At 56.8% G+C, this 14,710-nt stretch overlaps 1 protein-coding gene and 2 non-coding genes across 10 annotated transcripts in view, besides 2 other annotated features; all 3 read left to right on the plus strand.

Annotated features, from left to right (window-relative positions):
* Window positions 1-14,191, plus strand: part of TRPM2 (transient receptor potential cation channel subfamily M member 2) — a 92,504-nt gene extending 78,313 nt beyond the window's left edge. For all 8 annotated transcript variants that reach the window (NR_038257.2, NM_001433516.1, XM_011529736.3 and 5 more), the window contains 5 exons: window positions 6,678-6,764; window positions 8,609-8,714; window positions 10,614-10,715; window positions 12,336-12,452; window positions 13,239-14,191. Coding sequence is in view for 7 of the 8 variants with exons in the window: in NM_001433516.1 (NP_001420445.1) it covers window positions 6,678-6,764; window positions 8,609-8,714; window positions 10,614-10,715; window positions 12,336-12,452; window positions 13,239-13,364 (538 nt within the window). In the remaining variant the exon portion in view is untranslated. The remainder of the gene's footprint in view (window positions 1-6,677; window positions 6,765-8,608; window positions 8,715-10,613; window positions 10,716-12,335; window positions 12,453-13,238) is intronic.
* LOC124905069 (Z6 small nucleolar RNA) lies at window positions 8,668-8,728 on the plus strand. The gene has a single exon (XR_007067944.1). It is a non-coding gene; the product is annotated as a Z6 small nucleolar RNA (small nucleolar RNA).
* Window positions 8,721-9,220: an enhancer, noted in NCBI's record as "H3K4me1 hESC enhancer chr21:45857057-45857556 (GRCh37/hg19 assembly coordinates)". NCBI's record gives its function as "activates a minimal SCP1, AML or CMV promoter by ChIP-STARR-seq in primed H9 embryonic stem cells {active_cell/tissue: H9 hESC(primed)}" and the evidence as "EXISTENCE:reporter gene assay evidence [ECO:0000049][PMID:30033119]".
* Window positions 10,582-10,657, plus strand: LOC124905068 (Z6 small nucleolar RNA). Its single transcript, XR_007067943.1, has one exon. It is a non-coding gene; the product is annotated as a Z6 small nucleolar RNA (small nucleolar RNA).
* Window positions 13,359-13,898: an enhancer, noted in NCBI's record as "H3K4me1 hESC enhancer chr21:45861695-45862234 (GRCh37/hg19 assembly coordinates)". NCBI's record gives its function as "activates a minimal SCP1, AML or CMV promoter by ChIP-STARR-seq in primed H9 embryonic stem cells {active_cell/tissue: H9 hESC(primed)}" and the evidence as "EXISTENCE:reporter gene assay evidence [ECO:0000049][PMID:30033119]".

Genomic DNA, 14,710 nt, shown 5'->3' on the forward strand with positions numbered 1-14,710 from the left:
CCCTCCCCTGACGTGTGGCTCCTCCCTGAGGTGTGGCTCCTCCCCTGAGGTGTGGCTCCTCCCTGAGGTGTGGCTCCTCCCTGAGGTGTGACTCCTCCCCTTAGGTGTGGCTCCTCCCTGAGGTGTGACTCCTCCCCTTAGGTGTGGCTCCTCCCCTTAGGTCTGGCCCCTCCCCTGAGGTGTGGCTCCTCCCTGAGGTGTGGCTCCTCCCCTTAGGTCTGGCTCCTCCCTGAGGTGTGGCTCCTCCCCTGAGATGTGGCTCCTCCCTGAGGTGTGGCTCCTCCCCTTAGGTGTGGCTCTTCCCTGAGGTGTGGCTCCTCCCTGAGGTGTGGCTCCTTCCCTGAGGTCTGGCTCCTCCCTGAGGTGTGGCTCCTCCCCTTACGTCTGGCTCCTCCCCTGAGGTGTGGCTCCTCTTTCAAAGCTCTGTATGCCTCTGTCCCAGTCATCTCATAGCAGATCATGCCACTATTTGCCACAGCGTTGCAGTAATCCTGACTCTGGGATAGCATGTCTTTAAACCTGCCTTTTCTAGTCTTGAGCCTTTAGCTTTTTTGTGAGTTTAAAAGCCAGTTTTTCTAGCTCCATGACAAATCCATTGATAAGAATTGTATTAAATTTATAGAAAAATTTGAGACAATGGACACTTTTATGATAATGAGTCTTCTATGACTGTATTTGTCAACATTTATTTATGTCTTCTCTTTGTCCTTCCCTAAAGTTTTATAATTTTGTTCATAAAGATCTTACATTTTTAAATAATATTTATTCCTCAGGTATTTGATAACTTTTGTTATTTGGGGTAATTATAACATTTTTTTCTTTTTCTTTTTTTTTTTTTTTTTTTTTTTTTTGAGATGGAATTTCACTTTTGTTGCCCAGGCTGGAGTGCAATGGGGTGATCTTGGCTCACTACAACCTCTGCCTCCTGGGTTCAAGCAATTCTCCTGCCTCAGCCTCCTGAGTAGTTGGAATTACAGGCATCCACCACCATGCCCAGCTAATTTTGTATTTTTAGTAGAGATGGGGTTTCACCATGTTGGCCAGGCTGGTCTTGAATTCCTGACCTCAGGTGATCCACTCGCCTCAGCCTCCCAGAGTGCTGGGATTACAGACATGAGCCACCATGCCTGGTGTATAACATTTTTTTATATTTTCAATTTTTAAAAATATATATAGGGGCATTATTAATTTTGTTTGCTGACTTTGTATCTAACAACTTTATTAAACCTTCTCGTTAATTATATAAATGTGTTTGTAGATTTTCTATGTAAATAATATATATTCTGCAAATAACAATATTGTCTTTCTCCTTACAATAATCATGCCTCATTCCTTTTTCTTGCCTTATTGTGCTGGGTAAATTCTTCAGTGTAATTTAGAATATTGGTAATATTAACAGGCTTCCTTGTTTCTGACTTAATGGAAATGCTATCAACATTTCACCATTAAGTATGGTATTTACTGAAGAAATTTATAAATACCTTTTATTGGATTAGGAATGTTTCTATCTAGTCCCAATTTGTCAGGGGCTGAATGCTACTAAATGGTTTTTCTGCCATTGATTGAGATAGTTATAAGATGTTTCCCCTTTAGCCAATTAGTGTGTGAATTATTTTTATAGCTCCTTTAGTGTTGAGCCATCCTTGCATTCCTGGAATAAACTCTTCTGTTATATTTAACGTACTGCTGGAGTTAATTTACTAACATTTTACTTAAGATTTTAAAAAATCTGTGTTCAAAAGTGGAATTTGCCTATAATTTATATTTCTTGTACTGTCTTACTTTGGTTTTGGTATGAGGTTATACCAGTCTCAATGAATGAGCTGGTCAGCTTTCCTTCTTTTCTCTTCTTTACAAAGAAGAGAATGTTTGTATGAGGTGGAGATAATTATTTGTTTCTTAAAGTCTGATAATACTTAGCTATATAACTGTTAGCTCTAACATATTTTGAGCAAGTGGATTTCTTTTTTTTTTTTTTTTTTTTTTTGAGACGGAGTCTCGCTCTGTCGCCCAGGCCAGACTGCGGACTGCAGTGGCGCAATCTCGGCTCACTGCAAGCTCCGCTTCCCGGGTTCACGCCATTCTCCTGCCTCAGCCTCCCGAGTAGCTGGGACTACAGGCGCCCGCCACCGCGCCCGGCTAATTTTTTGTATTTTTAGTAGAGACGGGGTTTCACCTTGTTAGCCAGGATGGTCTCGATCTTCTGACCTCATGATCCACCCGCCTCGGCCTCCCAAAGTGCTGGGATTACAGGCGTGAGCCACCGCGCCCGGCCGAGCAAGTGGATTTCTAACTACTTTATCTTCCATAATGATTTTTCGAATCTTATTTCCTGTTTCTTCTTGGGTCCTTTTTAGTAATTGTAAATTTTCTGGAAAATTATAATTTCATCTAACTTTTGAAATGTATTGTGTCACAGATGTCCATAATATTCTTTTATGATTTAAAAAATAATATAAATATATAGTAATTTCTCTTTTGAGCATTGATATTTATTATGTATTTCTCTTCTTTTTTTTTTTGATTATTCTTGCCAGTGGCTTAATTTTATAATCTTTTCAAAAAACTAACTTTTGGATTTGTTGATTATCTTAATTTTTCGATCTCATCCATTTTTGCTTTTATTGTTATCTTTCCTTCCTTTCTACTTCTTATGGATTTGCTCTTGATTTGTGTGTTAGAGCTCATTTTTATTCAACTTTCCTGGTTTTCTAATAAGGGTACCTAAGACTGTAAATTCTCTCTAAGACCTGGTAGGCTGTAACCCTTAAATTTTGATGTGTAGGGATTTTATTTTTTACTTTATGAATTTCATTATAATCTTCATTTTACACTTTTGTTTTGCTCTTTTTTTTTTTTCTTTTTGTGGAGAATGAGGTCTTGCTCTATTGCCCAGGCAGATCTTAAGCTCCTGGGCTCAAGCTATCCTCCTGCCTCTGCCTCCTCAAGTGCTGGGATTACAGATGTGAGCCACCACGCCCAGCATAGTCTTCATTTGATTGTTTAGTGATGTACTTTTAGCTTTTTTTATCTTGAGATGGAGTCTTGCTCTGTACCCCAGGATGGAGTGCAGTGGTGCGATCTTGGCTCACTGCAACCTCCGCCTACTGGGTCCCAGTTCAAGCAATTCTCCTACCTCAGCCTCCCAAGTCACTGGAATTACAGGCACGCACCACCATGCCAGCTAATTCCTTTTGTATTTTTAGTAGAGATGGGGTTTCACCATGATGGTCAGCCTGGTCTTGAACTCCTGACCTCGTGATCCGCCCGCCTTGGCCTCCCAATGTGCTAGGATTACGGGCGTGAGCCACTATGCCTGGTCATGTGCTTATAGTTTTTAAGCCATTCTTTGTTATCACCTTCTAGTTTTATTGCATTTTTGTTGGAGCGGGATTGGCAACACGCTGATTCTTGAAATTGAAATGTCCTCCGTGGCCCGTCTCTACCCTGGGTTGTTGCAGCTGTTTGGCTGTAACCCTAAACTAACACCTAACCCCTAACCTTAACCCTAACCCTAATCCTAACCCCTAACCTTAACCCTAACCCTCTTGGCCCATTCACAACAGCAGCCTGTGTGAGCTTGTCTGACTCAAGTCATTCACACACTCAGATGCCCTTTCTGGTATAGGAGTGACTGTCCCCACGTCTGTCTGGGGCCAGCCCCCTCACTGTATTAGTTTTCTATGGCTGTTGTAACTAAGTACCACAAACTGGGGGGCTTAACAGAAATGGATTATCTCACAGTTCTGAGGGCCAGGAGTCTGAAATCAAGGACCACACTCCCTCTGAGGGCTTGAGGGGAGACCTCTTCCTGCCTCTCCAGCTCCTGGTGTTCCTGGCAGCCCTTCGTGTTCCTTGGCTTGTGATCTCTGCCTCCCTAGCCACATGGCCTCTCCCTGCACGTGTCTGTGTCTCTTCTGTTCTTAGGATTATAAATCGTACTGGGTTTAGGGCCAACCCTATTCCAGTGTAGCTTCATCTTAACTAATTACACCTGCAGACACTATTTCTGAACAAGGCCAGATTCTGAGGTTCTGGGAAGGACATACATTTGTGGGCATTGTTCACCCCAGTGCATCTTTGTGCTAGACCCATCTCCCATTGCCTTTCAAGGACCTCATCCCGGGAATGTCCTGCTCCTCCTGCACCCGGGTCCTCCTGCCCTCTTGCATTGCTCCTGCCAACATAAACTAAACAAGCCCCTGCCCGCAAGTCCCTTCCTCTTTCGAATCCACTCCACTTGGGCTTTGCTTGCCCCCTCTTTCTGAGATGGATTGAGGTCAGGTCAGCAAAGATTCTGCCTTGTTCAACCCATAGGCCAGCTCTCCACCCCTCAACCCACCTGCATTTCTGGAGCTGAGTGGATGAGTGAATGAACGTGTGATTGCTGTAGCCAGACTGTCGCTGTTTTTGCGCTTTGGGGTTGTGTGCGTAGGTTTATGGACGGGCCTATGCCTTGATGTCGTGATGGAACTACCGGGCACGTGGCAGGGAGATGAGGGGTTGAGAACCATATGGACGAGATCATGACCGGGGGATCAGAGATCAGGGCACAGTGAGAGCAGCTGAAGACTCAGGTGTGGGGTGGGGGCTGCGGTGGGAGGAGGGCAGCATGGTGGTCCGAAGCCCCTGCTGCCCGGCCCGCTCAGGCTGACTGAGAAGCAAGGGTGCAGAGTGTTTGTTTCCCTCCTGGCAGAAGCGAGCGTGCATGTGGTAGGAGCTGGCAGGCCCCTAACCTCCCTCCTGGCTCTGCCACTGGCCGACTAGGGATGGGGACAGTGAGATGACAGCAGGGCCCTGGGGCCCAGAGCTTCCTGTGGGGGTGGACTCATGCCAGGCAGAGCGTGTGGCCTCCTCTGTGAGCTTCTTGACCAATGCACTGCACTCAGCACGAACAGCAGTTACAGGGAGACGAGGCAGCCTTGCTCCCAGCAGCACGACCTCTGCCTTCCTCTCCTTCTGGAGCTCAGTGCAGCTCTGCCCAGTGCCGAATTTGTCCGTGGCCTTGGTTCTGGGTTCTGCCCGCTCAGTGGCGTGAGTGCAGGAAGGAGAATGGTGGCTGGCAAGGGCGGGGTGGACGGGAGTGAGAGACGGGCTTGGGGTTGAGGGGAGGCAGCAGTGACCCTCGCAGGAACCCTGACTGAGCCCCGGCCTTCGAGCTGAGGTCCCCAAGCCTTGCTGCATGTGTTGCCAGCTCTGTAGCTGGGTGGGGCCGGGGCTCTGGTTTCTGAGCAGCTTCTGGGGAGGCTGCCTGGGCCCCACCGTGCAAGGCCCCCCGGCCACAGAGGAGACCGCAGAGTGAGCTGGGAGGGCTGTCTGAGAGGCCTGGCCAGGTGGGCCCTACACACTGGGCATGTTCTGGTGCGGACTCTGATCGCTGTGGGCTCGGGCAGGTCTGCGCAGAGGTGTGACGAGAGCTGGGACCCCTGACAGCTGGGCGGGAACAGGGTGGCTGCTGAGGGGTAACAGAGAGGAGGGGCTGGGTGGAGGCAGGGAGGCCAGCTGGAGGCTGCCCCGCCAGGCAGGGTCAGGGACGGTAGCGCAGGCCTGGCTGGTGGCCGCCGGTGCTAGAGGTGGTCAGCTGTCCTGGGGCAGCCACGGTCAGCTGTCCTGGAGCAGCCACGCACTGCCGCGCAGACTCAGGAGGATGGAGTCTAGGCTGTGGGGAGAGGAGGCCATGAGGGGTGGGTCAGAGGCTGCAGCTCTGATGGGGTCTGGAGGTCAGAGTGGAATGGTGGAGGAACGATACCACTGTCCCCACTGTGGCATGGATGGTGGTGGGGACTGTGGTGGGGACGGTGGCGGGGACGCTGGCGGGGACTGTGGCAGAGACGCTGGCAGGGATGGTGACGGAGACTGTGGCGAGGACTGTGGCAGGGACGCTGGCAGGGATGGTGACGGGGACTGTGGCGGGGACACTGGTGTTGGGAACGCTGGTGGCGGGGATGGTGGCGGGGACGGTGGCAGGGATGCTGTCGGGGACTATGGCGGGGATGCTGCTGGGGACCTTCTGTAGACGTGGATGCCGCCCCCACCGCACGATAGCGGCAGTGCATTTCTTCCTTCTGTTTTAGTGGTACATTCACAGGAAATCGCCCGTTTCTAGAACTTGCTGTTTCATATAGGACCTGGTGGTGTCAGGGAGACCAGCCTGGCCCCATGGGAAGCGTCTGTGGCTCCTGCTGCCCGTGGTTAGCACACTCTGCTGGGGGTCTGTGTGGCCTATCATCTGTGGCCACACGGACGCAGGGCCTCTGGGTGTCTGGCCTGGTTCCCACACTGCCCCTCGGAAGGCTGCCAGGATGGAGGCCATGCTCTCGCGTGCTGGGGCCTTTGGATGCAAAGTGCTGGCCCGAGCAGTCGGCCAGTTCCATGCTCCGTGGGGAGAAGGTGGCCACTTTAGCCCCTCGCTGGCCTGCAGTGGCCGGACTTCTGCTCCCAGGGAGACCCTTCCCCCACCAGGTGACCCCGAGTTAACCCAGAGCCTTGGTCTCACTCCTTGGGGGTCCCAAAGGGATCCTACTCCCTAGGCCAGAGCAGGTCTCTAAAGAAGCCTGCATGCTGTCCCGCTGTGCGCCGGCTCCTGACGCCCGCTGTCCCCTCTCAGTCCCCCTCCCTGCCCTGTCCTGCTCCCCCATTGGTGGACGGTGGACTGACTCAACCCCTCTGCATCCCAGGAACCCCATGGGCCGCACAGGACTGCGTGGGCGCGGGAGCCTCAGCTGCTTCGGACCCAACCACACGCTGTACCCCATGGTCACGCGGTGAGTTCATGTGTGCCGGGCACCAGCACCTCAGCAAGGCGGTCACCCCACCTTCACAAGGGGCGGCTGCCATTGCCCAGTGCTCAGGGGCCGGGAGGGCGGCTTTGATGCTTGGCACTTGGTGCCTACTGGGGGGATGCGGGAGGCGTCTGTGGATAAACGTGAATATGCCCGAAATGGGGCAGGAATGTCCATGCTGCCCATCCTGGAGGAAGATCCCAGGACCCATCCCCTCTCCCGGGGCTGCCTTCACTTTCCTGCCGGTCCCTGCCCATTAGAGGGCACCCTCCACGGGGACACAGCCCCACACTCACCCCTAAGTCTCACTCCTCCATTCCCATCCACGGGGACACAGCCCCACACTGACCCCTCAGACTCACTCTCCACACCCATCCACGGGGACACAGTCCCACACTCACCCCTCAGACCCACTCTCCACACCCATCCACGGGGACAGAGCCCCACACTCACCCCTCAGACTCACTTTCCACACCCATCCACGGGGACACAGCCCCACACTCACCCCTCAGACTCACTCTCCACACCCATCCATGGGGACACAGCCCCACACTCACCCCTCAGACTCACTCTCCACACCCATCCACGGGGACACAGCCCCACACTCACCCCTCAGACTCACTCTCCACTCCTATCCACGGGGACACAGCCCCACACTCTCTCCTCAGACTCACTCCTCCCCACCCATCCACAGGGACACAGCCCCACACTCACCCCTCAGACTCACTCTCTACTCCCATCCACAGGGACACAGCCCCACACTCACCCCCTCAGACCCTCTCCATACTCATCCAGAGGGACACAGCCCCACACTCAACCCCCACCACAGGCTCATTCCTCCACACCCATTCACACACAGGGACACAGCTCCACACTCACCCCCTCAGGCTCACTCCTCTGCACTCCAGCAGCTGGCCCACTGCTCTCACCCAAGGCACGGGCCGCCTTCTGTGCAGGTGCAGACGCCTGCGTCCCTGAGGAAGCTGCCGGGGGCTCTTGCTGCCCCCATTGGGCAGGAATGGGATTCTGGGGCCCAGGCCCAGCTGCTGTGCCCTGTGCTCTCTGGGGCCTCTGCCTCCACAGCTGGGACCTCCCCCCAGCGGAGGGGCCTTTGGCCTCAGGGTCCTCTTGCTGCCCAGCCACTCTCACCCAGTGGCTTCTCTGGCCGTGCAGACATGGCCCTGGGGTGCGAGTCACTCTCTGCTCCCCAGTCCTTTGGCCTCTCCTTGGCCTGCCCAGGTGGCACTCGGCACCCCACGTCACCCCCACGTCACCCCCGGGCTGCACTCTGCACCCCATGTGACCCCCAGGTGGCACTTGGCACCCCACGTCACCCCCATGTCACCCCCATGTCAACCCTGGGCTGCACTCAGCACCCCATGTCACCCCCACATCACCCCCAGGTGGCCCTCGGCACCCCACATCACCCCCAGGCTGCACTCAGCATCCCACGTCACCCCCGGGAGGCACTCAGCACCCCACATCACCTCACTGGATTCCCACTGGCATTTTCTAAGAGTGGTCAAACTGCAAAGCTGGGTCAAAGGGCAGGTACCTCTCTAAGGATTTTAATGTTTAAAAAATTCTCCATGAAGGCTGGGTCTCTTTCTAGTTCTACCAGCTATGATGGAAGTGAAGAAGGACGTCCCCTAAGTGGTTACTATCTCAGTCTTTTCCCTGGGGATGAAGAACTTGAAAAAGAACACGGTTTGAGCCTGCAGTGGGCCTGACACTGCCCCGCCCCAGGCAGGGCCAGCCCCGCCGCGGCGCAGGGGAGGGTGGAGGCCGCAGCGGGTCCTGGGCAGCCATGGCCGCTCTCTCCGCAGGTGGAGGCGGAACGAGGATGGAGCCATCTGCAGGAAGAGCATAAAGAAGATGCTGGAAGTGCTGGTGGTGAAGCTCCCTCTCTCCGAGCACTGGGCCCTGCCTGGGGTAAGGCTGCCGCGTGTGGGACCTCTGTCCACTGGGCTGTCTGTGGGTCACTCGTCCATTCATCCATTCTGCCCACGGACTGGACACCAGCCCCCTGCAGCCCCCTGCAGCCCCTGGGCAGGGAGGGTTCGAGACCCCGCCTGTTTTGTCTGTAGAAGACACTCCTCCTCCCTTTTCCTCATGTTGCAGTTAGGAAAACCCAGGATCAGAGGATCTTTTGGTGCATAAACACTAACGGGGCACCTACTGTGTCCCAGGCATGGGCTGGGCTGCGGCTGGAGGCCACCTGGGCTCCCCTTGTGGAGTTCAGGGTGTTGGGGGCAGAGGTAGCTCTTCTCCCGTGTCTCAGACACCAACCAGCTCCTGACCTTCAGGGCCAGGTGCTGAGCCATAAATATAGGACGGTGTCATCCAGGGGTAGGGGCAGGTACAGGAGTAGGGGCAGGGGCAGCGACAGGGGTAGGTAGGGCCCAGGGTTGTGCACAGGCCCCTCAGCTCAGGGGCTGGTTGTGGGGCTGAGGCTGGAGCGCACCCCAGCATCTTGTGGGGAGGGGTGCACACAATCAGGACAGATGGCCTGGGCCTTTCCTGTTCAAGTGCCTCCAACAGCTCCTGTTTCCTCCCAGGCCAGCCTGGCCTCCGCAGCCCTCCAGCCCGCTCACTGCAGGGGATGGAAGAGGCTGGTCCTGCCAGGAGGTCTGAGTCCTGCCAGGCCTGGCCGTGGCGCATGGCCTCTGGGGTACAGCCTGCCCCGCAGGGCCTCTCCTCTGCACCTGATCCGGGGAGTCTGTGACTTACAACAACTCAGCAAGAAGCTGTTGCATTTCTCTGACCCCGAGCTCACGGCCTGGTGGCTGCCTCTGCTGCTGTGGGAGTGTGTGTGCCACCACGGTGTGCAGGGCAGCAGTGCCACAAGGGCCTCTGGGCAGGAACGGGGACTCCGGAGCCCAGGCCCAGCTGCTGGGTCCCAGTGCTTTGGGGGCCTGTCTCCACAGCTGGAACCACCCCCGCAGCAGAGGGGGCCTTTGGCCTTGGGGTCCCCTTGCTGCCCTGCTGCGCTCACCCAGTAGCTTCTCTGCCTGTGCACACCTGGCCCTGGAACACGAGTCACCCTCCGCTCTCTGGCACTTTGGCCTCTCCATGCGGGGTGCGTGGAGTTGGGTTTGGGGGTCCCACTCACTGGCATCCCTGTCAGCTCAGGCTGGTCACTGAGAGGGGCACTCTGAGGGGCCTCCTGGGTTCCTGGCTCTGTAGGGCACGCACGCTTGAGGGTGGGAGTGTCATGGGGCTGAGGTGGGACCGTCTTGACGTGGCCTGCAAAGTCTTCATGAGAAACCCACGGGTGTTTCAGTGGGACTTTGAATGACAAATAGGGTGGGAAAGATGGGTGTGGGGAGGAGGAGGTGCAGGCCGGAGCTGGGTCCCTGAGTCAGGTGGCGCTCGGGAGCGTCTGGGAGCCCAGCCAGCCGCAGCACAGGCCGGGGTGGGACTGGGAGAGACGGGAATGCAAACAGGGAACCCGCCGTGGCAGCCTGCTGCACTGGGCGGGAGCTGGGAGGGGCGACGCGGGGGCAGGCGCCAGGGGAGCGGGAAGGGGGTGCCCTGTCACCCTTGGGGAGTCTGAGCTCAGGGTGGGTACCCTGGGGGCTGTCCCTGCTCCTCAGAGGTTGTGTCTGCAGCCCAGTGCCCCCTGCTCGGGCCACGGCAGGCCTCACAGATGCTGACGTGGACGGCGGGTTCTGGGCAATGTCACTGCAGCCTGAGATGCCGCCTGCCTGTGGCTCCCAGGGCTGGGCCGCTGCCCACGCCGGGCAGGAGGCCAGTGGAGACGGGTGCCAGGGCAGCCTGAGGTCCCGCTTCGGTGCCCTGTTGACCTGCCTCCGTCCTCTGTCTGTCCAGGGCTCCCGGGAGCCAGGGGAGATGCTACCTCGGAAGCTGAAGCGGATCCTCCGGCAGGAGCACTGGCCGTCTTTTGAAAACTTGCTGAAGTGCGGCATGGAGGTATTCCTGGCCTGTTTGCTCTGTTCCACCTGTGTGTCCCCAGGGCTGCAGGACAAACACAGTGTGATACTGGGGACCTGCCCCAGCACCACTGGGTGGCAGCGGTCCCACCCAGCTTCACCAGGTGACGGTGGTCCCAGCCCCTGCCCCCACGTTGCACAGCTCCCAGAGGACCCGGAAGCATAGCTGTGTGCAGGGCCCCTCAGACATCTCGCCCTCCCTCTCTGTTCCATTTTCTCCTCTCTAAATCAAGGGGGATGGGCTGAGGACCCTTGCTGCCTTCGAGTGTGACAGCTGCTTGGAGGCCTGGTGCCGCCCTCCTCCCCACATCCACCCTTGCCTCGAGCACAGCTGCGCCCAAGGGTGCTGGGAAGCCAGCCCCTCCCTCAGACCTCGCCCCGACTCCCAAGCTCTGGAGGGGCCCTTCCCACATGCATGCCCAGCCTGGGGACCGACTGTACCAGGACTTTTTATTTACTTCTTTAGAAACCTCGATCTTTCCTTAGAAAGCCTCCATCTCCAGCTCTCTCACACAAATGCATGCACACTTTTTTTTTAATTTTTATTTTTGGAAACAAGGTCTTATTCTGTCACCCAGGCTAGAGTGCAGTGGTGCGATCTTGGCTTGCTGCAGCCTCCACCTCCCGGGCTCAAGCAATGCTCTTGCCTTGGCCTCCCAGGCAGCAGGGGCTGCAGCGGTGAGACACCACACCCGTCTAATATTTTGTATTTTTAGTAGAGACAGGGTTTGGCCATGTTGCCCAGGCTGGTCATGAACTGGGCTCAAGCGATCTGCCCACCTCAGCCTCCCAAAGTGCTGGGATTACAGGTGTGAGCCACTGCGCCCAGCCCTTTATGGACGCTCTTTATAAAAGCAGGCTACACGGGCCGGGTGCGCTGGCTCACACCTGTAATCCCAACACTTTGGGAGGCTGAGGTGGGTAGATCACTTGAGGTCAGGAGTTCGAGACCAGCCTGGCCAACATGGTGAAACCCCGTCTCTACTAAAAATACAAAAATTAGCCAGGCCTGATGGCGCACACCTGTAATCTCAGCTACTTGGGAGGCTGAAGCAGAAGAATTGCTTGAACCAGGCGGCGGAGGTTGCAGTGAGCCGAGGTTGCACCACTGCGCTCAAAAAAAAAAAAAAAAAAAAAAAAAGTGATCAATGCCATGGTGTGGAGCACTTCACAACATTGTGCAGCCACCACCTCTATCCGGTTCCAGAACGTTCCATCACCCCAGTCACCCCCAGCTCCTCCCCAGCACTCCCGCATCTGCTTCCCATCTCCTTGGATTTGCCGGTTCTGGGTGTCTGTTATGAGTGGACTCCTACAACAGGTGGCCTTTGAAACTGTCTTCCTTCACTGAGCAGACGTTTCCAAGGCGTTTCCAAGATCTCTGCAGGGCAAGGACGTGTCTGTCCAGGATGAAGCCCGCATTGGGCTGCTCCGCCTTGCAGGCCCAGGCAGGCTGGCGGGGGCTGGGGAGAGCTGGGCCGGGGTCCTGTGTGTGCTGGAAGCTGTGCTCAGAGCTGGGTCAGGGTGGAGGGCACGAGGTGGGCCGGGGCACCGCTCAGGTGTCCCTCGCTGTCGGGCTTACCCTGCCCTGCCCATCCAGGTGTACAAAGGCTACATGGATGACCCGAGGAACACGGACAATGCCTGGATCGAGACGGTGGCCGTCAGCGTCCACTTCCAGGACCAGAATGACGTGGAGCTGAACAGGCTGAACTCTGTATGTGCCTGGCCTCCCTGGAGGCGGGAGTGGGGAGGCAGGGACGGGTATGGGCGTGGCCTCCGGGGAGGGGGTTGGCAGGGATGGGGGTCTGGATTCTGGCAGGCTGAACTCTGTATGGGCGTGGCCTCCGGGGAGAGGGAAGGCGGGGACCGGGGTCTGGATTCTGGACGTGCCTCGAGGGCTTCCAAGGGAGGGACCTGGCCGTGCTCCTGGGGCCCAGGGCCAGAAACTGGAGGCTACAGGGTCAGAGTCTTGCCCAGAAAGTGACAAAGGGGGCACCAGGGAGAGGCCGGGGAGCCACCTCAGGTGGCCAGAGCTCACAGGGCTGGCCAGGCGACCATAGGGCCCTGTGTAGTTCTGGGACCTGGGTCCTCCAGGGAGGCCTCGAAGATGGCATCCAGGGGTGAGGCTGGCAAGGCCCCCTCAGCCCCCGGCTGCCGGCTTTTAGCTCTTTATGGGGATGTGGATTCCCAGTACTTGGATTAATCCTGCATGCTCCTAATTCAGAACTGGGATGGGAAATTCCATAAATAACCCCGGGCTTTAAATGCGGGCTAAATAGCTCCCGGCAAAGCTGCACCTGCATCTTCTTCCCCTGAAGGATCCTCAGGGCCTTGTGGGTGCATCTCTGGTGCACCTGACGCAGGGGTCCTGCCTCCCATTTCACAGAGGAGTAAAGGGAGGGTGTGCAGGCCCCAAGCCCTCGAAGGCTGCAGTCCGTAGGGCTCAGCTGGGCAGAGGCAGGGCTGGCGGGGAGGGTCAGCTGTGCCCTTGTTCTTCCAGAACCTGCACGCCTGCGACTCGGGGGCCTCCATCCGATGGCAGGTGGTGGACAGGCGCATCCCACTCTATGCGAACCACAAGACCCTCCTCCAGAAGGCAGCCGCTGAGTTCGGGGCTCACTACTGACTGTGCCCTCAGGCTGGGCGGCTCCAGTCCATAGACGTTCCCCCCAGAAACCAGGGCTTCTCTCTCCTGAGCCTGGCCAGGACTCAGGCTGTTCCTGGGCCCTGCACATGATGGGGTTTGGTGGACCCAGTGCCCCTCACGGCTGCCGCAAGTCTGCTGCAGATGACCTCATGAACTGGAAGGGGTCAAGGTGACCCGGGAGGAGAGCTCAAGACAGGGCACAGGCTACTCAGAGCTGAGGGGCCCCTGGGACCCTTGGCCATCAGGCGAGGGGCTGGGCCTGTGCAGCTGGGCCCTTGGCCAGAGTCCACTCCCTTCCTGGCTGTGTCACCCCGAGCAGCTCATCCACCATGGAGGTCATTGGCCTGAGGCAAGTTCCCCGGAGAGTCGGGGTCCCCTGTGGCCCCCTCAGGCCTATGTCTGTGAGGAAGGGGCCCTGCCACTCTCCCCAAGAGGGCCTCCATGTTTCGAGGTGCCTCAACATGGAGCCTTGCCTGGCCTGGGCTAGGGGCACTGTCTGAACTCCTGACTGTCAGGATAAACTCCGTGGGGGTACAGGAGCCCAGACAAAGCCCAGGCCTGTCAAGAGACGCAGAGGGCCCCTGCCAGGGTTGGCCCCAGGGACCCTGGGACGAGGCTGCAGAAGCTCTCCCTCCCTACTCCCTGGGAGCCACGTGCTGGCCATGTGGCCAGGGACGGCATGAGCAGGAGGCGGGGACGTGGGGGCCTTCTGGTTTGGTGTCAACAGCTCACAGGAGCGTGAACCATGAGGGCCCTCAGGAGGGGAACGTGGTAAAACCCAAGACATTAAATCTGCCATCTCAGGCCTGGCTGGCTCTTCTGTGCTTTCCACAAATAAAGTTCCTGACACGTCCAGGGCCAGGGGCTGTGTGACGGCTGCCTGAAGTTCTCCTCGATCCCCCGGTGAGCTTCCTGCAGCCTGTGGATGTCCTGCAGCCCCTCAGCCCTACCCCCAAGTTTCTCCTCTGACCCATCAGCTCCCTGTCTTCATTTTCCTAAACCTGGGCTCCAGCATCGTCCCCAAGCCCACCAGGCCAGGATGCAGGCATCCACATGCCCTCCTCCTTGGCTTCCCCTGCGTGGTGGTGCCAATGTGCCCTGGCACCCCTGCAGAGGCTCCGGATGGAGCCTGGGGCTGCCTGGCCACTGAGCACTGGCCGAGGTGATGCCCACCCTTCCCTGGACAGGCCTCTGTCTTCCACCTGACCCAAAGCTCTCTAGCCACCCCCTTGTCCCCAGGTATCCCCCTCACCCCATCAGCGTCACCAAGGACACAACTGACCCCTTATGCCCTGCTTAGAATCAGTCCCGTCACCAACTTTTGT

This window comes from Homo sapiens, chromosome 21 (genome assembly GCF_000001405.40).
Source record: "Homo sapiens chromosome 21, GRCh38.p14 Primary Assembly".
NCBI lineage: Eukaryota > Metazoa > Chordata > Mammalia > Primates > Hominidae > Homo > Homo sapiens.